Source organism: Homo sapiens, chromosome 6 (genome assembly GCF_000001405.40).
Source record: "Homo sapiens chromosome 6, GRCh38.p14 Primary Assembly".
NCBI lineage: Eukaryota > Metazoa > Chordata > Mammalia > Primates > Hominidae > Homo > Homo sapiens.
Genome location: NC_000006.12, coordinates 39,297,755 through 39,323,854, shown reverse-complemented (window position 1 = coordinate 39,323,854; position 26,100 = coordinate 39,297,755). Strand labels below are relative to the sequence as shown.

At 54.1% G+C, this 26,100-nt stretch overlaps 2 protein-coding genes and 1 long non-coding RNA gene across 9 annotated transcripts in view, besides 3 other annotated features; 2 read left to right on the top strand and 1 right to left on the bottom strand.

Annotated features, from left to right (window-relative positions):
- LOC105375047 (uncharacterized) overlaps positions 1–9,899 on the bottom strand; it is a 28,746-nt gene extending 18,847 nt beyond the window's left edge. Inside the window, exon 1 of the long non-coding RNA XR_926774.3 lies at positions 9,631–9,899. This is a non-coding gene — a long non-coding RNA (uncharacterized LOC105375047). The remainder of the gene's footprint in view (positions 1–9,630) is intronic.
- On the top strand, positions 887–9,285 carry KCNK16 (potassium two pore domain channel subfamily K member 16). Of its 6 annotated transcripts, none has more exons than NM_001363784.1 (6): positions 887–1,031; positions 1,414–1,527; positions 4,722–4,836; positions 5,903–6,069; positions 6,908–7,073; positions 8,726–9,157. In NM_001363784.1, the coding sequence occupies exons 2-6, from the start codon at positions 1,510–1,512 to the stop codon at positions 8,851–8,853; spliced, it is 594 nt and encodes a 197-aa protein (NP_001350713.1). In that variant the 5' UTR covers positions 887–1,031; positions 1,414–1,509; the 3' UTR covers positions 8,854–9,157. The 6 variants fall into 6 exon arrangements, with proteins under 6 accessions (NP_001350713.1, XP_016866835.1, NP_115491.1 ...); XM_017011346.2 differs by lacking the exon at positions 887–1,031 and adding an exon at positions 9,203–9,285 and having other exon boundaries at positions 1,153–1,527; positions 8,726–8,899; NM_032115.4 differs by lacking the exon at positions 887–1,031 and adding an exon at positions 7,413–7,553 and having other exon boundaries at positions 1,153–1,527.
- Positions 9,436–24,854, top strand: KCNK17 (potassium two pore domain channel subfamily K member 17). 2 transcript variants are annotated; one of them, NM_001135111.2, is made up of 6 exons: positions 9,436–9,771; positions 12,848–12,962; positions 19,200–19,360; positions 19,724–19,898; positions 23,332–23,482; positions 24,118–24,854. In NM_001135111.2, the coding sequence occupies exons 1-5, from the start codon at positions 9,535–9,537 to the stop codon at positions 23,457–23,459; spliced, it is 816 nt and encodes a 271-aa protein (NP_001128583.1). In that variant the 5' UTR covers positions 9,436–9,534; the 3' UTR covers positions 23,460–23,482; positions 24,118–24,854. The 2 variants fall into 2 exon arrangements, with proteins under 2 accessions (NP_001128583.1, NP_113648.2); NM_031460.4 differs by lacking the exon at positions 23,332–23,482.
- Positions 19,818–19,977: a silencer, noted in NCBI's record as "fragment chr6:39271654-39271813 (GRCh37/hg19 assembly coordinates)". NCBI's record gives its function as "represses an EF-1alpha promoter that drives an FKBP-Casp9 reporter gene in an ReSE screen in K562 erythroleukemia cells {active_cell/tissue: K562}" and the evidence as "EXISTENCE:reporter gene assay evidence [ECO:0000049][PMID:32094911]".
- Positions 20,531–20,830: an enhancer, noted in NCBI's record as "active region_24489". NCBI's record gives its function as "activates an Ori minimal core promoter by ATAC-STARR-seq in GM12878 lymphoblastoid cells {active_cell/tissue: GM12878}" and the evidence as "EXISTENCE:reporter gene assay evidence [ECO:0000049][PMID:35858748]".
- Positions 21,971–22,070: a silencer, noted in NCBI's record as "silent region_17166". NCBI's record gives its function as "represses an Ori minimal core promoter by ATAC-STARR-seq in GM12878 lymphoblastoid cells {active_cell/tissue: GM12878}" and the evidence as "EXISTENCE:reporter gene assay evidence [ECO:0000049][PMID:35858748]".

The following is a 26,100-nucleotide window of genomic DNA, read 5'->3' as shown; positions in this document are numbered from 1 at the left end:
GAATCCTCGCCCTGGGCTAGTGAGAATATAAAATGGTTCAGCCACTTTGGAAAATAGCCTGGCAGTTCCTCAAAAAGTTCAATACAGAGTGGCCAGATAGTCCAGAAATTCTACTCCTAGGTATGTACCTGTGAGTAATGCAAACACATGTCCACAAAAAAAACTCATACACAGAGGTTCATAGCTGCTTTGTTCTTAATAGAAGGAAACAGGGACAACCCAAATGTCCATCAACTAGAAATCAAATGGATAAACAAATGTGTTATAGCCACACAATGAAATATTACTCAGCCAGAAAGAAGGAAGAAGTACTGTTACATGTTGCAACAGGGCTGGATCTTGAAGACCCTGTGAATATACTAAAACCCACTGAATTGCACACTTTAAATGTGTGGACGATACAGCATGTGAATTATATCTGTATAAAGCTGTTATACATGTACATAAACAAGCATGTGTACACACACACACACAGGCAAAGAGAAAGGAAAGCACTCTCAATTCCATCCACTCAGAGACAGCCCCTCTTACCATCCCAGGATCAGGATATACTTATAGTTTCTTTTTAATTCACACATATATTTCACCGACATATCCTCTGAAGGTAACCCACTAGAGGGCTTCATGCAAGACAAATTAGCAAGAGTTATAAAACCAATGAATCCAACTTATCAGCAGAATCAACCCTGATACTCTTACCATCAGGCTGAGTGAGACAATCACCTGTCTATTTACTTTGCCCTGATTTGTCACGCAGTTTACTCATCCTGAGGTTCCCCCAATAGGCAGTTCAATTATCCTGCCCCATTTTGTAGCCAAGGCAACTGAGTAGAAGGTTTATTCATACCCATTCTGACCTCTTCCCAGCTCCTAAGCTGGGGTCTTACAGCCTTCAAGGGTGAAGACGCTGGGGGCGGCCGAGAGAGCCCACTGGGGCCTGGACAGAGTGAGCACACCTATCCGATTTAGCCCAGAAACATCTATCCAACTTGGAGACAGAGAGAGAGACATGAAGCACTCAGGAGAACCTGGTAGGTCTCTTTGAAGGGTCCCTGACACTGACTTGCTGCTGTCCATGGAAACAAAGGCCGGGTGGGGGTGGCCGGCCTGTTTGCACTCACAGCATAGCACTTAGTGCAGCCAAGCTGAGCCGCACTGTTCAAACAGTCTCCCCAGCCTCCAGACACCTGTGCCGAGGAGGAGGGCAGGGCAGGCGGCAGCCTGGGCACAGGCCCCTAGGTGCTTACTCCTCACCTGTTTCCCACCTCTCCCCCATAGCCAGCCCCACGGCCCTGGCAGGGTCCTGGCCACAGCATGCCCAGTGCTGGGCTCTGCAGCTGCTGGGGTGGCCGGGTGCTGCCCCTGCTGCTGGCCTATGTCTGCTACCTGCTGCTCGGTGCCACTATCTTCCAGCTGCTAGAGAGGCAGGCGGAGGCTCAGTCCAGGGACCAGTTTCAGTTGGAGAAGCTGCGCTTCCTGGAGAACTACACCTGCCTGGACCAGTGGGCCATGGAGCAGTTTGTGCAGGTGAAGGGGAGCGATGTGGGATTGGGATGGAGAGGCTTGGGAAGGTTGGTGGAATGGGGTTCCTGTGGCAGATCCACAGTCCTCACCCAGGAGCTGATGCCCCATTTGGAAGAAGAGTGTGGTGGGAACAGAGAGCCTGGTGAGATCTAATCCTGGATTCTGGCCCCAGGTCTACAACTGGATTGATGTGTGACCTTGAACAGGTCACTTAACCTCTCTGGACCCAAACAGCCTCATCTATAAGGCAACAAGAATAACCATATCGGTACTGCAGACATTTGACAGCAGATTAAAAGCACTCTCTAAGCTGTCACTTGCTGGATGAATGGGAACTATATGTCAGCGTTATCAACGCTATCCAAATTTCCTCCTCCCACACTTTCATACTTCCCCTTCCCCAACTCCAGGGCTGCAGCTCCTTCTGCCCTCTCCCAGCTCATATCCCTGGGCAGACGGCTGCGGGTGGGAGACACAGATAAATGCCAGGAGCAGCCACCACCAAGCTGTCCTTTCCTGGCCTGTTTGCACCTGGAGTTGGGTTTGGTGGGCAATGGCCAAGGTGACTGAGCTTGCCAGCACTGCACCCAAATGGGGCTCTCTCTTGGTAACAGAGTGGGTCACCCCCTGCCTGGGTCCTTTCTGGTTTCCTCTTTCCCAGAAACAAGACAAAACCAGGTGTTGTGGAGGGAGGTGAATGCATCTGAAATAGGCACTGGAGCGAGTGACAACATCCCCTGCAAAGGAACAGACCAAGTGCCAAATCACCTTGATAACTGGCATTTACTGAGCATTCACAATGTGCCTAAAACAGTGGGAAGCAGGGTGGTCATGACCAGCTTAATCCAATCATGATCCACTCATCACCTGACACTGAGCGTGTTACAGGTGTTTTCTCATAATTACCTATTACAATCCCTATCTCCACTTTGTAGATGGGAACTGAGGTAGAATATGTTGACCAAGGCTGCACAGCTACTGGTAGAGACAGCATTCACTCCCAGGCCTCTGGCTCTGGAGCCCCGGGTCTTCACCACACAAATTAGCATAAGTGCTGGGGGCAGGATGCAACCTGAAGCAGCAGTTCTCAAAGTGTAGTCCCGGGACCAGAATCAGCATCACCTGGGAGCCTGTTAGAACTGGAGATGTCAAGCCCCACTCCGCACCTGCCGACTCAGGAACTCTAGGGATGGGTCCTGCAGGCTGTGTGTCAACAGGCTCTCCAGGTGATGTTGAGGACCCTGAAGACTGAGAACAGCTGGCCTAGAAGATGATGCGTGGGCTGGGTGGTCACAGACAACATTCTGTAGCTGTGAGAGACCAGGAAGTGAGGCCTCCAGCTTCAGGTTTTACTCTCTTCTCCCTGATGGATAAGGTTAGTCAAAGTTGGGGGACCATAGTACCACATCAGGGTTGAGAACAGTTCAGGGGCCTCCCAAAACCCTGGGAGTAAGGCAGAGGCCCTGGAGAAGCTGAAATCTCCTCCCTCAGCTCTGCATTGGAGGTGAGAGCCAAGCTGGAGGGCGTGGGAAGGGTTGGTAGCTGCAACCTAACTCGCTCTGCTAACCAAGACGAAAGGAGGCCATCCGCTTGATTGCAGCCCCGAAGGGATTGCCACTGATTAGCCCCTGGGGCCTCCCCAGGGAAGACAGGACATCCCTTTCCCTGAGAGTCCTCAGCCTCAGGAGAGACCCTTCCTTGCCAGGGGCAGTTGAGCTGGGTGGCAGAAGAACACTGGGGTGAGATTCTGGAAGAAGACACATTCCTGTTGAACTCTCAGACGCACAGGGCGAGTTGAGTAACTAGTATTAAAAGCAGTATTAAACATTGCCTCTGTGACGAAACACTGCTTGCCCAGGTTCACAAAACTGGGAAGTCAGAACCCATGGCCACCTGCATCCGCCCACCGGCACTCAGCACCCTCAGCAGGATGAGGGCTGCAGGCTGGCAGTGGGGGATGGCCCAGGACTAGAGTACTGCCCCCAGAAGTGAGGGTCTCCAGAGAACGAGCATGTTCGGGAATGTTGGGCCCTGGCCACTTTGTGGATGTGGGAAAGAAAGGGAGGCCAAAGTCCACATCTTAAGAGGCCAGTTCCCGTCAAAGTGAGGAGAAGCAGACAGCCTGTGACCGCAGATGCCCTGACTGGCTTGGCCCACCAGGGCCACCCCAGCCCTGATCTAAGCACACCCACCCAGCCAGCGGGAACTGGTTCCCATAGGAATTGGAAGCCAGAACTGTTGTGTCCCTGGCTTCCTCCTGCCTTTGGGGCTCTTCGGTGGCAAGGCTGTGCTGCTGCTCTGAGACAGTCCACAATTAAAGAGGAGAGGGTTGGGGCAGGGGAGGAGAGAGCCCTGCCTATTCTCCAAGGCGGCTGGGCCCAGGGACTGGAGGTTGTCAGCAGTGGGGCAGCGAAGGGAGGTGTTGTAGGCTTGAGCCGGCAAAGGTTCGGGTCTTGTGAAAACACATGCAACACACATACAAACATGCACACATGTGCAACATACAGTTGCCATGCACAACACGTGCATACAACACATCACATATAAACAACCACCACACACACACACACACACACACACACACTCACACGTGCCACCTTTGTCTTGGCCTCTGTTAGAATTTCTCCCATAGGCAAGGGCTGAGGCTCACTAGAGAGCAGCAAAGAGCAAGGGTGCCCACTCGCCTGGACACTTAGGGAACACAGGGCTCTCTTTCCCACCATTAGCTTCATAGCAGGCAGCCCATGGCTTCCCTGTGGTCCCTAAACCCTGTGTTCCCCAGCAATCCCTTCCAGACATACCCAACCTGAAATCCTCCCATTGTTCTAACAGCTGATGTGGGTGCCATCCTTTTGGCCACCAGCAGCATCTCCCACGGGACCCCTCCCTGAGCATCCTCCACCTCACCCCTCAGGCCCATCTCCCGCCCCAGCCCATGCTTGCAGCCCACACCTCAGTCAGCCCTGGCCAGTGGAACAGACAGTGGAACAGACACTGGAGTTGGAGTCCAGTCACCTTGCACAGGTCACTTAGCCACTCTGAGTCTTCATTTCCTTTTTCCATGAAATGGGAACAATATCATCTAAGAGTATCATTAGATGAGATGACACAAAAGCATGCTGCCAAAAGCATGGCAACAACTGGTGCCCAGTAACCATCAGCTCCTTCTTCCTCCCCTGCCATGCCACCCCCTACAGGTCATCATGGAAGCCTGGGTGAAAGGTGTGAACCCCAAAGGCAACTCTACCAACCCCAGCAACTGGGACTTTGGCAGCAGTTTCTTCTTTGCAGGCACAGTCGTCACTACCATAGGTAAAGGGCTGGGGTAGAGAAGAGCTTCCCCAAGGCCCCTGTCTTAGTTTGGGCTCCCCAAAAGCAGATGCTGAGACAAGGATGTGGTTTGTCTAGGAGATTATTCAGGAAGCCCAGGGAGGGAGTGGGTAAGTGAAACAGTAGGGAGAAGGTGGCAATGAAATTTGCATTAATTAGCAGATTACTGGCTTGGGTGACTGAGCTCACTTCTCCTTGGGACCCTCTGAGAGGCTAGATAGAGCCCTTCCTCAGAACGGTCCAGCGAGGGACAAGAATGAGGGGCCATTTAGCTACCAACTCCTGCCCTCAAAGGTTGAGAGCTGGTCCCGAGTATATTAGTTCCCCAGCATTTTGAAACTTCCCATAGACCAAGCATACTCCTTTGGCCAGAAGAATCTCTCAGGTAGAGAGAGATGTGCAGAAACTGGGAGCGGGGGTTGATTTGTATACAGGAACTGTCCACCAAAGCTTCAGGTGGTATCTCATGTGTTCTGAGGGAACAGGGCACTGACAGCAGCTGCTACACCCCCTCGGCCAGAAAACTCACTCCATCCCACCCCAAGGAAACCATCAGATCCAGGTCTACCCCATCCATTCAGTTAAGTCCAATTCCACATACTTTCCTTGAACTCAGGTGACATTCCAGGCAGAGTGATGGAGTTGGGGGTGAGAGATACAAACTTGGATCAGACCCAGGCTCAGCCTGCAAGGAACTTCCAGTCCAACAAAGAGGAACATGATAAATACACAAAAAAAAGTAATAGAAAACAAAGTCGATAATTACATAGCAATGACATAAAACACTATGGGGAACCACACCCAGAAGGGAGAAGGAAATCGGCAGTCAGGAGGGCTTCATGGAGGCAGAGTCATTTGAGATGGGCCTTCAAAGATGAGCAGGAGTCCTATAAATAAAAATCATTCCAGCAGAGTTCATGGGAACAGGGGAGCTTCCCCTTCTCACCCCCAGAGGTGGTGACAGACAAACCTCAGCTAGAGTCTGGGGAAGAGGAGCAGAGGGCGTTCTAGAGTCTCCATATTTGCACACGCCCCCCTTCCCTTGCAGGATATGGGAACCTGGCACCCAGCACAGAGGCAGGTCAGGTCTTCTGTGTCTTCTATGCCCTGTTGGGCATCCCGCTTAACGTGATCTTCCTCAACCACCTGGGCACAGGGCTGCGTGCCCATCTGGCCGCCATTGAAAGATGGGAGGACCGTCCCAGGCGCTCCCAGGTATGCCCCCTAACTCCCTTACAGGCCTGCTGTGACAGATCTGTTGCAAGTGGAGTTCCCCAGAAGCCGATGCTGAGATGGAGTTTGGCATGCATGGTGTTAGGGGTAGATGCCTGTGAAAGAGGAAGGGTGAAGGCAGGGTTGGGCAGAGTGGGGAGTTGGATCTCTATGCATGCTCTACAAAGGCTTGGCCCCAAGGAGCTCTACAGCATGTGAGAGCTGTCAGAGTTGTCCCACAGTGGGCGGAACCAGCCAGGTTTTCATACCTGCCTCAATCAGGCACTGGGTGTGGCCTTCCCAGGAAGGGTATGCCCCTAGGCCAGGAGGTTCTCTGCAGCTGAACACCCTGAAGGAGCTGGCAGCTGGCCCACCGTCCTCCTTTAAGTGAGGGATCTCTGTAGCACATCTTCAAGGTCATCACAGAACTCCAACATCCTTTTGTGCAGTAGCAAACAAGCTCTGCAGGCTGCCCAGCATGCCCTCAGTGCCCACCCTTGGCCAGCCACTTGCAAGGCCAGAAATACGCAGACAGTTCAATGATACTTTTCTGTTCCAGATCTGAGTCCCCAGGGAGCCTGTTCAAGTGTGATCCCCAAGTCCAAAGGGGTCTCCAAATCGCTTCTTGACCCACTAACGCAATCCCTCTGCCGAAATCTTTCCCTGGGTGGGACAAGGTCATGCACACATAGATACAACCTCCACCTCGAGGGTCTGCAGTGCAGGAAAGGGTCCTAGCTATGGCCCAGTCCCATTCCCATGTTTACCCCAGACTCCCCCCAACCTCATACAATCCTGGAGACTTTCAAGTGGACTCAGAGGCCAACTCCCTCCCTCCTAGGTACTGCAAGTCCTGGGCCTGGCTCTGTTCCTGACCCTGGGGACGCTGGTCATTCTCATCTTCCCACCCATGGTCTTCAGCCATGTGGAGGGCTGGAGCTTCAGCGAGGGCTTCTACTTTGCTTTCATCACTCTCAGCACCATTGGCTTTGGGGACTATGTTGTTGGTGAGAACAAAACAGTCACATTATCTCAGGGTGGGGGTGCCCACTGGGATTTGGGGGATGGAGAGATGTCAGCTGAGGACAACTATTGAGGATAAGATAGCCCTTGGTCATTCAAGGGAGCCAAACCAATGATTTCTGGGACTACTGTGGATTCTAAGCAACATTCTCAGAAGTTTCTGGTCTAGGACCCATCACCACCCTGCAGAGACCTACCTCAACTGCTGTTCCTTGTTATGAGGAAGAGGGAGAGAGCATCCTGGCTGGTGAGGGTCCCTATGGAAACTGGAGGTGGCTATGCCCTGAGACCCCTGGCATTGATGCCATTCCCTTCCCTGGCAGGCACAGACCCCAGCAAGCATTATATCTCAGTGTATCGGAGCCTGGCAGCCATCTGGATCCTCCTGGGCCTGGCGTGGCTGGCGCTGATCCTCCCACTGGGCCCCCTGCTTCTGCACAGATGCTGCCAGCTCTGGCTGCTCAGTAGGGGCCTCGGCGTCAAGGATGGGGCAGCCTCTGACCCCAGTGGGCTCCCCAGGCCTCAGAAGATCCCCATCTCTGCATGAGGCCCCCGGGGGGGGCCCAGAAACCCCTTTCATCCTCCCCAGTCCCACCCTATCTGCTCTCTGGATTTCCAGCCCTGCTTTCTCCTCTCCCAACCCCCTCACTTCTCAGCCAGGGCTGGTCTCAGGAGCTCTCCCAAGAGAGAAAGGAGACAGGTATATCCAAGAAAGTAACAGAGAGGAGACGTGAGATAGGATTAAAGACATGTGTGGATGGGGAGGTGTACCCTTGTCCCAGAGCCCCTGCCACAGCCTTCCACCCAAAGGTAGTGGCCAGATCTCCACTGCCCTCCCCATGCCCCCTTCCAGGAGACCTTACACAAACAAAGGATGACTTTACTTTTGCCTCATTTGATATGTGCACAGTGCATTTGCCAAGCCCCTACTATGTGCCAGGTGCTGTGCCAGGGTCTGTGCCAGGGTCTGGGGATACAGCAGTGGAAGTGCCTGCCCTTGATGTGCCTTTAGTTGCTAGGCAAGCAAAGAGGCAGCCCCAACACAGTGCCCAAAATGCTATGATGGGAATAGCCCCAGGGTTGATGAGAGCCCATGGGAATGGCTGGCAGGGAGCATCAAAGAGAGGGGAGACCTGGGCAGAGACTTTGGAACAATCTTAGTGAAAAGAGGATCTCTGCCCTCAGGAAGCTCTCAGCCGAGGGGCAGGCGAGCTGCCTCTCAAAGCTCGCCAGCTCCCCTTGCCTAGAAGTCCAGGGCTGTCTGTGAACAAAGCTTAGGACCTCTTGGGTGTCCTACCCACTTTCCTGAACATGGCCTCCCCTGACCCTCACAGGCCACCCCCTTAACTTCATCACTCCCTCTGGGCTCCTGCCTTCTCAAGAGCCTTTCCAAACACCCCATGGGAAGCCAGAGAGCCAGCAGATCCCAGGATCCTTCCAGAAAGTGAGCTCCATGAACGTCTGGCCTCTCTCAGGAATGCATTCTCCAGGTCTGGCCTTTCCCCTGCCAGACTGCAACATCCCTGACCAGGAGAGATTTAGACCACTCCATCCCGGGGCCTGGAAATTTTGGCCTTTGCCTCTCCCATCATCCAACAGCAAGTGGGCTCCTATGTGGCTGGGTTCCTCTGCACAGGTCTGAGGCAAGGCTGTGGAGCCAAGGCGGCTCCAGGCAGGAGACCCAGGAGAGGCTCTACAGCAGCAAGAGGAGTCCAAGTCACACCCCAGGACTTCCCCATATCCAAGAAAGGACTGGGAAGCTGAGGACCCACGGACTCTTCACACAGCCTAGACGCTTCCTCCACTCCAGGTAGAGGGATTTCGGGGGCCTTCTCAGAAGCAAGGAGTGGACAAGCCTCTTGGTTAAGGCTCCTCTTACCTCCCAAGCTCATGGACAAGTGGCAATCAGCTGGGGTCCCTCTTTTGGGGTACAAAGGAAAGGACAGAGGTGTGGGAGACCCAAGGTGGTCTTGAGATTGACAGACAGCAAGTCCTTGGAGATAGCCCCCGAGTCCAAGAACTTAGGCAGGGGCCCCAAGACAATAAAGTTGGTCTCTACTATCTCCTACCTCTGAGTGCGGTTTCCAGAAGTCCCTCCCATTGTTCATTTCAGGAAATGTGAGGGGGCTCTGGGCCCCTTCCCTCAGCGCCTGCGGTCACCCAGCAGCTTCCTCCTTCTCCCTGGCCTAGGCCTAGCAGGTGGGCACCCCGCACACATTTGAGGCGGGGCCAGATGCCCACAGTTCAGAGCCTCTTTTTGTCCCGGGGATTGGATCCCAGGGCTGGGTGGGGCCAGGCTGTCCCATTCCCCAACACTCCTCCTCCCCGGCGAAACCGGGCACCAGCAGGCGTTTGCGAGAGGAGATACGAGCTGGACGCCTGGCCCTTCCCTCCCACCGGGTCCTAGTCCACCGCTCCCGGCGCCGGCTCCCCGCCTCTCCCGCTATGTACCGACCGCGAGCCCGGGCGGCTCCCGAGGGCAGGGTCCGGGGCTGCGCGGTGCCCAGCACCGTGCTCCTGCTGCTCGCCTACCTGGCTTACCTGGCGCTGGGCACCGGCGTGTTCTGGACGCTGGAGGGCCGCGCGGCGCAGGACTCCAGCCGCAGCTTCCAGCGCGACAAGTGGGAGCTGTTGCAGAACTTCACGTGTCTGGACCGCCCGGCGCTGGACTCGCTGATCCGGGTCAGGGGCGAGCGGCGTCGGCCTGGGCGCGGCGGGATGGGGTAGCGGGCCGCGGGGTGTACGGGCCGAGGGCGAGGGGGCCTATTCAGGCCCTGGTCAGGTGTTTCCTGTTCAGGGAAACGTCGGGAACGCAGACGCGGGCACAACGGGGGTGGGCGTTCCTGCGCGGGGACCAGAGGGTTGGGGGACCTCGGAGGAAAAGACCCTCGCCCTAGCGAGAGGACTGCGAGAAGCCGGGCTGAGTCCTACTTGGGGGCGAGAGGGCATGCTGGCCCGGTGAGGAGGCAGATGCCTGGGGACACATCCAAATTTGGGGGCGAGGACGACTACGGCAGGGGGCGCGCGCGTAACCGGCCCCGCCCGGCCTGACCCGGGAAAGGGCGCGTTTGAGCCTGCTTGGGGGTTGGTCGCACCCGCACCCGTGGCAAAGAGCTAAACGCCACACCTGGCCGCTTCCAGAGGGGGAACCCGGGCGCACGTTTGCGAACTGGGAGCTGGGACGGCAGGGGCGCCGGGTCTAAGGATGCGCAGGAGCGAGGGCGCGGCCGTAGGAGCCTGGGGGAAGGCGCGTTTGTCCCGGAGGGTGGGTGGATTGGGCCCGAGGCGTGCTGGTCGGGGCCACCCTCAACGCAGAGAGGGGGCTCGACGTGCGCAGACCCGGGTTCGAGAGGAGGGCGGACGCAGGGCCGCTCTCTGGCTGAACCCGCTTTACTCCGAGTCTTCGGACACAAGGACTGGGCGCGCCGCCGCCGCGCGGCTGCCCAGAAAGGCTGAAGGCAGGGTTCAGGGGAGGACTCAGAGGTAAATCTGAGCAGAGGCTCCTCAAGGGTGGGGCCTAGCAGGGCGGAGGAGGCCGGGGAGGGTTCTAGGGGTGGCGCATCTTAGGACTGAAGCGACGCCAGACTGGCAGCTGCTCGATTTGGCGGAGGCATTGATGTCCTGGGTCCTGGCTTGGTTCCCCACCCCTTCGTCCAAGAGCCCAGAGTCCAGACAGCTGCGCGCCAGCCCAGAATCCCCGTCTTGCAGTCCTGGTGGCTTATCCGTCCAGAGTCTCCAGTCCAAAGCCAATCCCCGGAAGGTGGCAGGGAACCGTGCCAGGGTGGGAAGGGACCCAGCGCGGAGCGGAAGTGGTGTTCTGAACCCTCGGACTAGGCCGATTCGGTGAGGTCAGGAGGTAGCCAGGGCCAGGCCTATCTCTACTAAGGACCTAAAGTGATTCCTCCAGCTCCCCACCTGCGGACTTCTGCAAATACAGCCCGACTGCTGGGTCCTGGTGCTGAGGCTGCCTGCCATTACCCTTGCAAAGGTGGTGAACTTCGACTACAAGCAGCCTGGGCCCAGGGAGATGGCTATGATGGTGATTATAATAACAGTAAATGCCTCTGTGCAGCACTTATCGTGTGCCAAGCACTGTTGCTGGTACTTTACCCGTATTCATTTGTCTCACCTCCCTCACAGGTGGGTACTGTTTTTATCATCCTGTTTCACCCTCACAGGTGGGTACTGTTTTTATCATCCTGTTTCAGAGGTGAAGAAACAGGCTCAGAGAGGTTACATACGAATGCATGGCTACATAGCCAGGAGCTGGAGCTGTTAACCAGCATAAATACTGCCTCAGTGTGGACCTGTGGATGTGGGTGCTTCCCAAGATTCCCAGCCAGGCTGTCATCTCTTTGGGCTTTCCCTTCAACTCCCTCCACCCCCACCTCACCCCCTTCCTCAACACTCCTGTGGCTTCAGCCAACTCCAGGAATAAGGATGTGGTATCCAGCCCAGATCTTTCTGAGCACCAGATGTGGACATGCAACTTCTGAAATTCCTCAAGGCCAAGAGCAAGTGGTCCTCCTCCTCCCAGCCCTGCTTCTCCACCTGTCCTAAATCTCGATTGTCTGCCCCATGTCCACACACCCTCACAATCCTCTGCAACATCTCCTTTACTGCCCATACTAAATAGGGCCAGAGGCCTGGGCTTCTGAATATCTCCTCTCTGTTCCTCCTGGACCACCTGTGCCAGGAGACAGGCCAGGGCCCGTCTATCACTCACTTCTGCAGGAGTCTCTCCCCTCTGGTCAACCCTTTCTATACTGCCAGCTGCCACAGAGCACACAAACCTGATCCTACTTCCCCTTTGCTCAGTGACCTTGGCTGATACCTGCGACTTCATCCCTGGCATGGCAAAGCCAAGCACAGCTTGGCCTCAATCACTTCTTACCAGTCTCCCTAATCTAGGTCCCAGGCAGTCTCACCTCCCACCTTCTGCACTGCTGTCCCATCTACCTAAACATCCTTCCACCAGAAGCAATCCTACCTGACCCTCAAAGGCCCAGCTAAAACATCCCATTCTCCATGAGGCCTCTGCTCCTACCCAAATGAGAATGAACATCCTTCTTCCCCAGAGTCCTACAACATTATATGCCTATATAATGCATATAGGCAATATAGCAACTGCTAACACCATGTGCCAGGTACTAAGTCTACACATAATACCTTATTTAACACAACAACTCTATGAAGTAGGTACTATTTGTATTACCATTATACAGGTAAGGAAACTGAGGCACAGAGAGAAGTTGAGCACCTTGCCCAGGATTGTGTAGCTGCACTTCCTCCTTAATGCCCAAAGTGACATTGACTGCATCATATTAGAGTTAATTAGGTTTATCTATGTACCACTGAGGGCTGGGGTCATGTCTCTTGTGGTCACGTCCCCTAAAAGCACCACACATCACGCCTGGCCTAGTGTTTGTTGCAGGAATGGGAGTGAGCAGGGGAGAAAATGAGTCGCTGGTTTACTAGGACTCCAACCTGACCTAGCCACTGGGTAAAGGGTGGGGAAGGAGCTGTCCCCATGGTAGCTGTCAGTAGCTGTACCTGGTGAGCCCTTGGTGAGAGGGGTAGAGCCTCCTTGCCCTGGTGGGCTGGGATCGAAGAGTAATTGTGAGGGCTGTGTGTGTAGGTTTGTTTGTGTGTGTGTGTGTGTGTGTGTGTGTGTGTGTGTGTGTGTGTGTGTGCATCTTGGGGTACAGGAAATCCATCACCCCACAGAGCCTGGTGGTCATTGCAGCCTCTTCCCCAGGATGTCGTCCAAGCATACAAAAACGGAGCCAGCCTCCTCAGCAACACCACCAGCATGGGGCGCTGGGAGCTCGTGGGCTCCTTCTTCTTTTCTGTGTCCACCATCACCACCATTGGTAAGGGCCAGATGGGGCCAGGGGGATGGGGGTGGGGGAAGGAGGCAGCTCCCTGAGAGGCAACAGGCTAGTTGCCTTTTGGAGGGATTACCTGGAGTCTCATGACTCCAAGTGCAGTTCAGCTCTGCAGCATGGACACCGCCTGGGAGCAGTCTCGGGCCTCACTACAGACCTGCTGACTCAGCCTCAGCATCTCACCCAGGTCCCCAGGGGATTCATGTGCACTGTTCGAGTTTGACAAGCACTGCTCTAGGGGACTTCTGCCCCACATGGCCTTTCAGGAAGCAGAGGTCTCCCAGTACAGCAAGAAACATGTCTCTGGGCACTACAAGGATGCCAGTCTCCTCAGCTGAGCCCACCCAACACTGAGCCCCGGGAGTGGTGGTCGGGAGAAGTGGAGGGAAAGTTAGGAAGGAAGAAGAAGTAGAAATCCAAAGAAAGAGCTTTAGACCCCCCGTTTCTCAGCCCTGGGGGAGGTGGCCATTCCTCCCATGTCCTTGTCTCCAGACCCCATTCCCACAGTCCTCTCTTCAGCTTGCAAACAGCCCCCTCCACTCCTCATCGCCATCCTCCCCACACACAGGGACACCTGGACTAACCCTCCTCTGCGGAAGAGCTGAGGTAGAGCTTGTCTCAGGAGGGTGCTGAGGGGCTGCTGTGCAAAGAAGAGCAGGCTAGATCCCTGCAGTTCTGAAACCCAGGAAATCATGCAAGTCGAGCCACCCAGATCCTTCTGCCCCAACTCCTGCATGACACAGGACTTGCCACCAGGTGGCAGGCTGGTATCACTGGTGACTTGGGCTACCGCCTCCCAGTTCCTGGCCAGCCAGGATCCTCTCTCCAGGACACCAGTATCCCAGCCTCCCCACAGGGTTGGGTAAGGCAAGAGCACCCAGAGGATTCTCCATCTAGTTTTAAATTGGCCAGAACTTCTTGAAAGCAGACCTCAGAGCTACATGGGAGCTTGGGCAATCCTTGAGACAAGCATGCTTGGGAGGCATCTCAGACTCCAGCGGCCCTGAGCCCCTGAAGGACTGGCAGGATGGGCCGATTCATCTTTACATCCCCAAGGGTCTATTACAAGGCCCAGCATACAGCAGCCACTCAATAAATACTGCCACGTTAAGGAATTCCATTAAATATGCATTCACCAGGCATGTATTGAGTTCCAGGGTAGCAGGAGATCTTAAAACACAGTCACTGTAGGCCAGGCCTCCCAGATTTGGGGGTCCTTTAGTCTGCAAACCCCACACCTCCCACACTCTTCTCAGGGCCTGTGACTTTGGCCCACCAAATTCAGAGTTTTGCTACCTCTCTTCCCAGCTCTACCACCCCTAGCTTGGATTATGCCTCTGTCCTTTCCTCTCCACTCAGTTTCAACCAGCTTGAGGGTGAGGAGGGCAAAGAGAGGAGGGCCCTGCCCCACCCCACACACACAGTACACCTGAGGAAACACCCGAGGTCTTCTTGTACTAGGCACTGTGCTGGGCACTTTGACATTTAAGATTTCAATTTGTCCCTATGGCAACCTCCAAGAATAGGTCTTATTATTTTCTTTCTTTCTTTTTTGAGACGGAGTCTCGCTGTGTCACCCAGGCTGGAGTGCAGTGGCATGATCTCAGCTCACTGAAACCTCCGCCTCCCAGGTTCAAGCGATTCTCCTACCTCAGCCTCCCAAGTAGCTGGGACTACAGGCACTTGCCAACATGCCCGGCTAATTTTTGTATTTCAGTAGAGACAGGTTTTACCATGTTGGCCAGGCTGGCCTCAAACTCCTGTCCTCAAGTGATCCACCCGCCTTGGCCTCCCAAAGTGCTGGGATTACAGGTGTGAGCCACTGTGTCCAGCCTATTTTCATGACACAGATGGGGACACGGTGGCACAGAGATGTTGCACCATCTCCCCCAGATCATACGGCTAGTGAGAAGCAGAGTTGACTAGCCATTGTGGAGTGAACAGGAGGGGAGTGAGGGTTCTGTGATGCTGACCACACCTGTATGCACTTACACATGGGAGGTATTTGGAGAGAGAAGGAGAGGGAGATGGAAGATGAGGTACATCTGGAATGCCACAAGGGAAGAAGGGATATTCTGAGAGGCTCAGCAGAGGGCAGCCTCTTCGGCAAACCCATTACCCTGGGACCAGCACCCTGCAAGGGCAGTACTTTCCAAGCCCTAACACAAATACCTCTGGGCCAGTAGGACAGGCCTGAGCCCAGAAATCACTCATCTATGAACTCCATTCCTGGCTTGCTCATTGGTTCTTTCATTCATCCATCCATTTGTTCAACAAATAAATTGAAGGCTGGGCATGGTGGCTCTTGCCTATAATCCCAGCATTTTGGGAGGCCGAGGCAGGTGGATCACATGAGGCCAGGAGTTGGAGACCAGCCGGGCCAACATGATGAAACCCCATCTCTTCTAAAAATATGAAAATTAGCCAGACGTGGTGGCGGGTGCCTGTAATCCCAGCTATTTGGGAGGCAGAAGCACGAGAATCGCTTGAGCCTGGGAGGCGGAGGTTGCAGTGAGCCGAGATTGTGCCACTGCACTTCAGCCTAGGCAATAGAGCAAGACTCTGCCTCAAAAGATAAGTACATACATACACACATACATACCTTGGTGTGTGTATGTACACATACATATGTACCTAGTGTGGGCCAGACACTGGTGCTGAGGATACAATGGTAATCAAAATTAGCAAGTCCCAGCCCTTGGGGAGCTGACATTCTAGTGTGAGGGGACACACACTAAACAGATACATGGACAATAATCAGGTAGTGGGGTGTGCTTAGAGAAAAGTAAAGCTAGTTAAAGGGGTCTCATAGTGATGGGGGCACCTATTGTAGGTGGGGTGTCCATTCAGTAACATTGAAGCTGATACAGTAACATTGAAGCAGAGACATGAGTAAAATAATGGAGCAAACTGATGATATCTGAGGAGAGAATCCTCTGCCAGCAAGTGCAAAGGCCCTGAGATGGGAATGTGACTTGTGTGTTTGGGGAGCAGTAAGGAGGTCCAGGTAGGTGGAGAGGGTTGGAAACAGGAGCTGCATTCAGAGAAAGTACAGAGAAGACCAATCACAGATAGACTTGTAGGGTTCTTGCAGGATGCCCAGAGATCCCAACAAGATGCAAAGTGGCAGTGAGGAGACATGCTGAAGTGAAAGGTGGCTTGGGTGGGGCTGTGGCTACCCAGCGTTCAACAGGTAGGTGACATCCTTTTGCTGACCTGAGGGATGGCTGAGAATAGTGGGGAGGAAAAAAACCCATTTAATGTCAGCCTGAGAACGCTGCAGGCCTCCATGGGGCTCCTCTCAGAGCTGGAATCTTAGTGTCCCCATCCCGCTGGTGAAAACTGAATGGGGAAGAAAAACCAGTACCAGATGATGGAACTTGGCAGGACCTACAGCTGGAGGAGGAGGGGTTGGTGAGGAGGCAGGCAGAGAGGTGGGTGGAAAGTAAGAGGTTTACCTCGCCCTAGATGCCTACAGAAAGGAGAACTCTCCTTTGGAAGAGGAAACCCATAAAGGCCAGAGGGGGAGGTAGATGGGGACTCAAGAGGCTTCTGAAGTCCTCAGACCAGAAGCCAGTTCACTGGAGTTCTATCATTCATTTATTCAACAAACATTTAGCACCTTGTATATACCAGATGCTTGCAAGCTCACATTCCCTTCTACAGTGTACCTCCATTCCTCATTTCATCATTACCCCCCACTGTAGGTGGATGTCAGCATCCCCATTTTACAGGAGGAAGCAGCATTCAGAAAGGTCAAGCCAAAAGAAAGAGAGAGAGAGGAAGGACAGAAGGAAGGAAGGAAGGAAGCAAGCAAGCTGGGCACGGTGGCTCACACCTGTAATCCCAGCACTTTGGGAGGCCAAGGCAGGCAGATCACAAGGTCAGGAGATTGAGACCATCCTGGCCAACATGGTGAAACCCCATCTTTACTAAAAATGCAAAATTAGCTGGGTGTGGTGGCATGTGTCTGTAATCCCAGCTACTCGGGAGGCTGAGGCAGGATAATCGCTGAAACCAGGGAGTCAGAGGTTGCAATGAGCCGAGATCGCGCCACTGCACTCCAGCCTGGCCACAGAGCAAGACTCTGTCACAAAAAAAAAAAAAAAAACAAAGAAAGAAAGATCGAGCCACTTGCCCAAGGTCCCACAGCCTGCAAGGAGCTGAGCTGGGATCCAAACCTAGGAGGTGCAGCAGACTCCAAAGCACATGCTCTGTACTTGTACATAGTTTGACCTCTCTTGGGACCCCTCAGTAAGGTGGGGGTGGATGTAAACATTGGTTTCAATATAGTACAGACGAGTTTAGGGTGTGTGGGCACAGTGACCCCATCTGGGCAAGCAAGAATGTTAGGCAGTGCTAGGAGGCAAAATGAGAGGCATTTGTTCATTTACTTACACATTCACTTTTGTATTTCCTCATTCATTCATTCACTCATTCTTTATGCATTCAACACATATGTAGTGAAGAGCACCTATTAAGGGTCAGATCCTTTGCCAGTTGCTGAGAATATGGTGATTAAGAACCAGTCCCAGGCCGGGTGCGGTGGCTCACGCCTGTAATCCCAGCACTTTGGTAGGCCAAGGCGGGCAGATCGCCTGAGGTCAGGAGCTCGAGACCAGCCTGGCCAACATGGCAAAACCCCGTCTCTACTAAAAATACAAAAATTAGCTGGGCGTGGTGGCACATGCCTGTAATCCCAGCTACTCGGGAGGCTGAGGCAGGAGAATAGCTTGAACCCAGGAGGCGGAGTTTGCAGTGAGCCAAGATTGTGCCAGTGCACTCCAGCCTGGGCAAGAGAGCGAAACTACGTCTCAAAAAAAAAAAAAAAAGACCCAGTCCCTGCTCTTGAGGGGCTCAGAGCATATACTTGATATACTTGGAAGAGGCAGACATGGAAACAAATCTTTCTCACACAGTGCAAGGGAGAGTGCTGGAGGGGGCCCTGGATGAGGAGCAGCTGCACTGGAGAGTCGAGGACTGGAAGGGTCATTTATATTTATGTGGGTAAAGAGGAGAGACTCTCTTCATAGAGGAAGCATTGTGGTCAAAGGTGCAGAGGCACGAGTGGACCTGGAGAGTTCTGCAGGCCAGCAATGTGGCTAGAGCTGGGGAAGCGGGGGCACCAGACGAGTCTCAGAGAAAGGCTGGGCAAGAGCTTGGACTTTCCCCAGCAGACAGGAGACTGAAGAAGGGTTATAACCTCAATGATGATCTAATCAGTTTTGCATTTTAATAAGACAAGACAGTGGTGGTGATCAAGAAGGGTGGAGGCAGAGCTGGAGGAGAAAAGAATGTCCAGATGGATAGAATCTTTTATGAACATCTTTTCCTCCCCTAGCTTCCCCTCTCCCTATCTTGAGGATCAGAGACCACCCCCCCAACTTCTACCTCCTCCCCTAGGCAGCTGATGACTTACTGTCTGTCCCTCCCTCCCACTGAGCTTTATGAGGGAGCCCCGTTGTGCTAGTTTGGGTCCTCCAGGAATCAGATATCAAGACAGAATTAGATGCGCAAGAGATATATTGAGGGGAGCCTTTGAAGGATAAAAGAGAAGGAGCAGGAATTAATGTCAAAAGCCTCAGACTGCAAGCAGGCCTGATACCTATGAAAGGAGAGAGGGAAGGAAGGAGACTGGTGTGGGAAGAGCTGCTCTCTGCATTGCAGCTGTCAGAAAGTCTGGGCCAGGCCATGGGGATCCCAGAGCAAAGGTTGAAAGAGGAGTGCCACACTGGGCAGGGATGGCCAGCTTCAGTGCCCCACTGTGCCCAAGCATGGCTGGGAGCAGTGTGGAGACAGCATGGCCTCAGCCTGAATGGTGCAGTAGATCCTAAGAGTGCAACAGCTGGAGGCTCTGCCCCCTCCAGCATCCATCTGCCCATCCAGAGAGGGAGGACATGAAGAGAGGAAGAGGAGACTCACATTTGGTGGGTTTGAGCTCATGCATGCAGCTTAGCCTCCTAGAGCTTCTCCAGCCTGTAAAATATGGCACATAATTCTGATTTGGAAGGGTGGTTTCGAGGGTGAACTGAGGGAATGAATGTACAGGGTGCCCTGCACAGTGCCCAGCACAGAAAAGGAGGGCCTTGGTAAGTATCAGCTGCCCACATCTACAGTGGGTTAGAATGAGGGCCCTGGGGGTTGGGCCCAGGAGTGGGGCTGTGGTGGTGAGTGGACAGGGCTGGGCTGGAAATGTCCCCTGAGTGCCCCCTCTCACCTCAGGCTATGGCAACCTGAGCCCCAACACGATGGCTGCCCGCCTCTTCTGCATCTTCTTTGCCCTTGTGGGGATCCCACTCAACCTCGTGGTGCTCAACCGACTGGGGCATCTCATGCAGCAGGGAGTAAACCACTGGGCCAGCAGGCTGGGGGGCACCTGGCAGGTGAGGGGGCTGCTGGACGGGGTGGGGATGGGTCACTTCTAGAATGAGGGGCTGTGGTGGGAATTGGGGTTACTAATGACAAGAGGTGGGAGCAAGTGTTACTGGTGAGGTTGTGTTGGGATTGGGGGTCACTGCTCAGAATAGGGTCCTTAGTGAAAAAGGGCATTAATGGTGGAGATGGGGTGGGACTGGGCAGACAGGAAGGACATGAGGCACAGGCTCCAGGCAGGGAACCTGGAGAACACAGACCAGGTGAAGAGCCCCCTTCTTACTGGGGACAGCTCTGGCCTGCCTCCAGCTCCCTCGGCTCCCACGCATGGGGTGAAGGCCTCAGGAGGCCTGGGGACAATGTTGCACCCACAGGATCCTGACAAGGCGCGGTGGCTGGCGGGCTCTGGCGCCCTCCTCTCGGGCCTCCTGCTCTTCCTGCTGCTGCCACCGCTGCTCTTCTCCCACATGGAGGGCTGGAGCTACACAGAGGGCTTCTACTTCGCCTTCATCACCCTCAGCACCGTGGGCTTCGGCGACTACGTGATTGGTGAGAGTTCCTGGCGGTTGGGCTGGCGGGGACATTCGGCTGCCTATACCTCTCACTCATCTGCTCCCGCAGCTGGCGCACCTGCTGTGTGCACGCCATGTGGGGGCTTTTGGGCCCAAAATCCGGAGACACTGTCCTACCCGCTTTTGTTGTGTGACGGGTCTGAGGTCACTCTGGCCCTTCTTGACCAACGCGGAGAGGTCCAACACGTCCGCGGGCCCACCTATTGTGCTTAGAGCTCTCCACATGACGGGAGTCCCCGCCTCCCTCCGGGGTCCATGCTTGCCCCAGGGTCTCCCTTCCCCACTTCACTCTCTCCCTATGGAAGGCCAATCTGTCCCACTTCTCTGGGGCTGGAGATCACAGTACCCGGGGATCAGACAGTAGGGTCCGGGAGACTCCTGGAACCCCAGCCTCCCCAGAGCCCTGTGGGAAAACAGTTGGCAGGCAGATTCTGAGTGCCAGCAAGAAAGGGCCTCATGGTCAGTGGACCCAGGGTGGGTTTAATCAGTGGCACAACCCAACCTAGGCAAGACAAGGGCCCTAGAAGCCACCAGCCTTGCATAATCAGGCTGAGTCCGATGCCCAGCAGGTGGCAGTGGAGGGACATTCTGTGCCGTGGCGGAGTGGCTGCGCCCCAGCTCAGCCTCATCACCGCCCCTTCCTGTCCCTGAAGGTGCCGCTGGCACCACTACCGCGCCAGCCTCAAGCGGCTTCATGCACTCCCTCTGATCCCAGACCCTAATGTGGGGAGGAGGCCTTGCCCTTCTTCACTTCTTCAGCGACAGAACCCAGCCTGGAAGAATGAAGTTAGTTTCAGCTAACTCCTCAGGCAACCTACAGCAACAATTGTCACCCCCATTTTACTGAGGAGGAAGCTGAAGCTCAGAGAGGCTGAGCCATCTGCCTGAGACTGCACAGCTAGTAAGATGTGAATCCTGATCTATTTGACTCCAAAATTCATACTGTTTCCAGGCCACCTAAAATGTCTCCTCTCTGGGCCTCAGTGTTCCTGCCTATAAAATGAGGCAATCCCTAGAGCCCCTCAGTGCCTTCTAGCCTCTGTTTGCAAGGTCCCCAGGAAGAGGGGTCAGGTGTTGGGGCCTCACACTGCCCCCTTCTGGATCTCCCTCATCCTGGGAGGTCTGTTGCTCTGGAAGGAAATTCTTGGGAAGATTTCTTCCAACTGGGTCATGTTCCCACCTTTACCCTCAGAGTAGAGAGATATGTCCCAGGACAGCTGAGCCCAGTAGCTCCAAGGGCCATACCTGCACCCTCGCAGCTCAGAGTATGATTCTTAGATCTGTCATTTCTTCTCTATTTCCACTGCCATTTCCCTAGTTCAGGCAGGGTTGTTGCATATAGCTGCACAGGTTGGGCACTGCACAATCCTATAGTTTTGCTACTTACACAGAGCATAATAAGGATGGCACCCAGGGACTTGTGCAGCTTCTCTCCTTGTCCCCTGTTGGCTCTTATGACCTTTAAAAATTACAAAGGCTATGATGTCACCTGCCCAGCTCCTCTGAAGAACTTCATTGTTTTCCCATAGTTTTAGGATAAAGTCCAAAATCTGTAACCCCCCTCCTACCAATACAATCTGACTGAGGAGATCTAGTCCAAATTCTGTAACCCCCCTCCTACCAATACAATCTGACTGAGGAGATCTAGTCCAAACTTTAAGCCCAGAGGGACTGCCCAGGCCTGGGGCAAGGATGGGCAAGAACACTCCTGCCCAGCGGCCACTGCAGTTGGCAGAGCTTCTCCCTTCACCACATCTATGGAGACTTGCTACCTCCTGGGCCCCTCTGCAGTCATGGCAGTGCCTCGTAGCAGGTCACCACAATAAGAGCCCCAACTGCTTCACCTGCAGGGGATCTTCCTTATACAGATGGAGACACTGAGGCCTGGAGGAGGGAAGGGAGTTGCATAAGGTCATAGAGCAAGTAAGTCAGGGCAAATCTAGGATAAACTCCCAAGCCTGGGCCCTTCACACCACCCATGTTTCAGAGTCTTCCATGCCTATTCCTCAAACCTCTCAGGTCTCCTTGTCCTCCAGTAACAGGGACAACCCCTTTCTTGGATGGGGATACTGAGGTCCACCAGTTGGCTACTGGGTGTTCACATCCCTGCATCAGCAGCCACAAGAGGCGCTGTCTTCACAGCCACTCCTCTGCCTGAAGGCTGTGGCCAGAGCCGCCCCCAGGTCCCATCCGGCTACTCCTCCCCAGCCCCATAGCCTGGCGCCTCCCAATTGCATTTGCAGCTCAGTTGAGCGCCTTGCCAGCTGCCAGGTCTCCTGCCACTTATGATTTCAGCTTAAAAAAATGAAATAAAAACGGAGAAGAGCGCCTCCTCCCCTCTGTCACCAGGAGCAAGCCAAGCTGGCGGGTGGCAGGGCCAGAGAGCCGGCTCAGTGCCTGATCTCATTTAGGACCATCAGCGGAATCATAGCCCCATAACCCAATCAGCCTAATCCAATCCCAGCTCCTGCCAGGCAGCACAGGTCAGCTCCCAGGTGGCAGCCTCATCCCCATGTGGGGGTCCTAGAGAGGGGCCCAGCCTTGGGGGACCTGGAGAGAGAGGCTGTCTTGGGGCCAGCAGGACAGGATGAGGAGTAGACAGAGGCATGGTACAGGGAGCAAAGACAGAAAAGGATGACGAAGGAATAGGAGGGGAGAGCTCTACCCTTTGAATGATTCCAATCTGATGAGGGAGGCAGCACAGACCTCCAGGGAGGGTACTAAATGATAGGGCAAATCCTTGGCAAGATTTATCTAAGACTCACAGCAGCTCCCATCAGTCCCCTCCCTCAGCTATACTTACCCAGCACCAACTTCGTTGGGGGTGTCCGATGGTGAGTGAAACAAGCAACCACCTATAGATCTTGGGCACCTGTTATGTACCAGGCACCATTCTGAGCACTTGAGCTGCATCAGCCCATGTGATCCTCCCAACAGTCATAGGAGGAGGACTCTTACTGTCTCCATTTTACAGATGAGGAAGTAACTTTCCCAGCAGACACACATAGGCCATGAAAGCAGCACGTGTAACAGAGGAACCCAACGTGGTCTGTAGGGAGTGATGTCTGAACTGAGGTCTGCAGGATGAGGGAAGGTAACCAGGCCAAGAAAAATGGAAAATGAAGAGCATTTGGAGCCGAGAGGCCATAAGTACAAAAGCCCAGAGGCAGAAAGAATGATAGATGGGGAAACGGGAAAAAGACCAGAATGACCAGGCAGTCAGAGGGGAGAGGTGTGCTGCAGAAGCGGGCAGAGGGCCTTGAGGATTTGGACTTCATCCTAAAAGCCAAGGGGGCGCAGTCGTATTCCCCATCTCACAGGTGAAGGAGGTTCAGACAGGTGGCTGAAGAACCGAGTCAGGATACATATTCTTATGGTTCCATTGTTCATCCCAAATCCCCTGGCTCCAGCAAGCTGCCTCATTTCAGATACGAGAAAACCAAACAGAGACTGGCAAACACTAGAGCGGACATCGAAATCCTCTGGGGGCTTGTTAAAATACAGATTTCTGGCCGGGCACGGTGGCTCACACCTGTAATTCTAACACTTTGGGAGGCCGAGGTAGGTGGATTGCCTGAGCTCAGGAGTTCAAGACCAGCCTGGGCAACAATGGTGAAACCCCGTCTCTACTAAAATACAAAAAAATAGCCGGGCGTGGCGGCAGGCGCCTGTAGTCCCGGCTACTCGGGAGGCTGAGGCAGGAGAATCGCTTGAACCCAGGAGGCGGAGGTTGCAGTGAGCCGAGATCACGCCACTAAACTCCAGCCTGGGCAACAGAGTGAGACTCTGTCTCCAAAACAAAACAAAACAAAAAATACGGATTGCTGGGCCTATGCCCAGAGTTTCTGATCCAGTAGGTCTGGGGTAGGGGCCCCATCATTTGCATTTCCAACAAGCTCTCAGGGATGCTGATGCTGCCGGCCCCAGGGACCACACTTTGAGAACTGCTGGGATGGAGCATAAACAGATTCCCTCAGAAAGACAAAGAGGAAATGTAGCTCCTAAACCCAAGTGCCAATCCAGGGAGGCTTTCTGGAATCCTTCGGAGGTGACCATGAGGCTAGGAGTCTCCATGTTCTGTCCCATTGGCACCTCAACTTGCTTATATGAATCAAACCATGTATCTCTGTTTCTGTTTGGGGAATGTGGTCCTGACTTTCCCAGGCCTCCATCGTCTGACCTTGCCTCTTCCCCAGGAATGAACCCCTCCCAGAGGTACCCACTGTGGTACAAGAACATGGTGTCCCTGTGGATCCTCTTTGGGATGGCATGGCTGGCCTTGATCATCAAACTCATCCTCTCCCAGCTGGAGACGCCAGGGAGGGTATGTTCCTGCTGCCACCACAGCTCTAAGGAAGACTTCAAGTCCCAAAGCTGGAGACAGGGACCTGACCGGGAGCCAGAGTCCCACTCCCCACAGCAAGGATGCTATCCAGAGGGACCCATGGGAATCATACAGCATCTGGAACCTTCTGCTCACGCTGCAGGCTGTGGCAAGGACAGCTAGTTATACTCCATTCTTTGGTCGTCGTCCTCGGTAGCAAGACCCCTGATTTTAAGCTTTGCACATGTCCACCCAAACTAAAGACTACATTTTCCATCCACCCTAGAGGCTGGGTGCAGCTATATGATTAATTCTGCCCAATAGGGTATACAGAGACATGTCCTGGGTGACATGGGATGTGACTTTCGGGTGTCGGGGCAGCATGCCCTTCTCCCCCACTTCCTTACTTTAGCGGGCTGCAATGCCGCCGATATGATGGCTGGGAGCTCTGGCAGCCATACGGCACCATGAAGTAGCGGCAATGTTTGAGCGGCACAATAAGATAGGAAGAGTCTGGATCTCTGATGATCACAGAGCCATCCTAACAAACGGAATATCACCCGACCTCCTTTATGTGAGAGAGAAATAAACATCTTATGTAAAATACCATTATTTGGGTTTTTCTGTCATTCATAACCAAACCTAATTCTGAGTATGCCCAGAGACAAAGGCAGCATCTGAGACTGGAACCTACACAGAGAGAAACTACCCTCTCCCCGTGTGAGTTTGTCCAGGGCTGGTGGCAAGAACGGATTGAACGCTGGACTGCGAGCCCCCTACACCTTCAGAGAGCCACCAGGTAAACTCTGTAAAGATTTGCTGATAACTCTCGGGGCTGATGCAGCCAGCAGGCGGCTGGTCTCAGTCCAGCTGCTGAATCCTTACTCTATGGCTCATTCACACCACAGAAAAGCCAGGAGCAAGCCAATGGGCTCCTCCTGCCTTACCCTGCCCCACTGCGTTTGAAGGCCCCATCAACGGTTTGCAAAGCCAGGTAGAGTTTGCAAAGGCTACTTCTGTTTGCAGAGTGTCAGTGAAGGTTGCTACTAAGATAGCACATAACACAGTGGTTTCCACCATACATACATATAAGCCCAGCCAGAGCTCCTGGCAGTACCAGCTAACACCTAGGTTCACCTGGGGCAGCTGGGCTCTTGGCCTCCGTGGGCACCTGTGATTCCGTTCCCTCCACCCATCTTGCAGGTGGTATCCCAGGGACCCAGGGAGTTCCATGTGGCCTCTCCCTGTGACCATCTTGGAACTGGGTCAGGGTCAGCCCTTTGGCCAACGAAGGAGTAAAGGCTGTTACACCATCTCCCTTGCGCCATCCATCCTGGCCCTGCGTGGACCAAGGCCAGACCCAGGAGCAGCACGAGAGAGTAAACAACAGGGCCCACGCCCACTTCCCGAGGCCCCCATTGGCTTGCCCCTGGCTTTTCTGCGGTGTGAATGAGCCATAGAGTAAGGTTCAGCCGCTGGACTGAGACCAGCTGCCTGCTGGCTGTATCAGCCCTGAGATTTATCAGCAAATCTTTACAGAGTTTACCTGGTGGCTCTCTGAAGGTGTAGGGGGCTGGACAGAGGAAAATGGAGGGGAGGAAGAGATTGCTGAAGTGTGGAAGTGGCATGCTTTGTACTTAACACACTCCAGAAAGAGGACCTAGCATTCAAAACTTCCTCCTGGGAGCAAGGAGCAGGCCAGTGTGTTGGGTTAGGCACTGTGGTCCCAACCCGAGCTCACCTCGGACCTCTTTGTCCTCATGCCTGGCCCCACTGTGCTCTCCCACGAAGCCTTCACTCCCATGCCCACACCCCTCATACTCAGAAATGCTTGCCCCAGAAGGAACCAACCTGG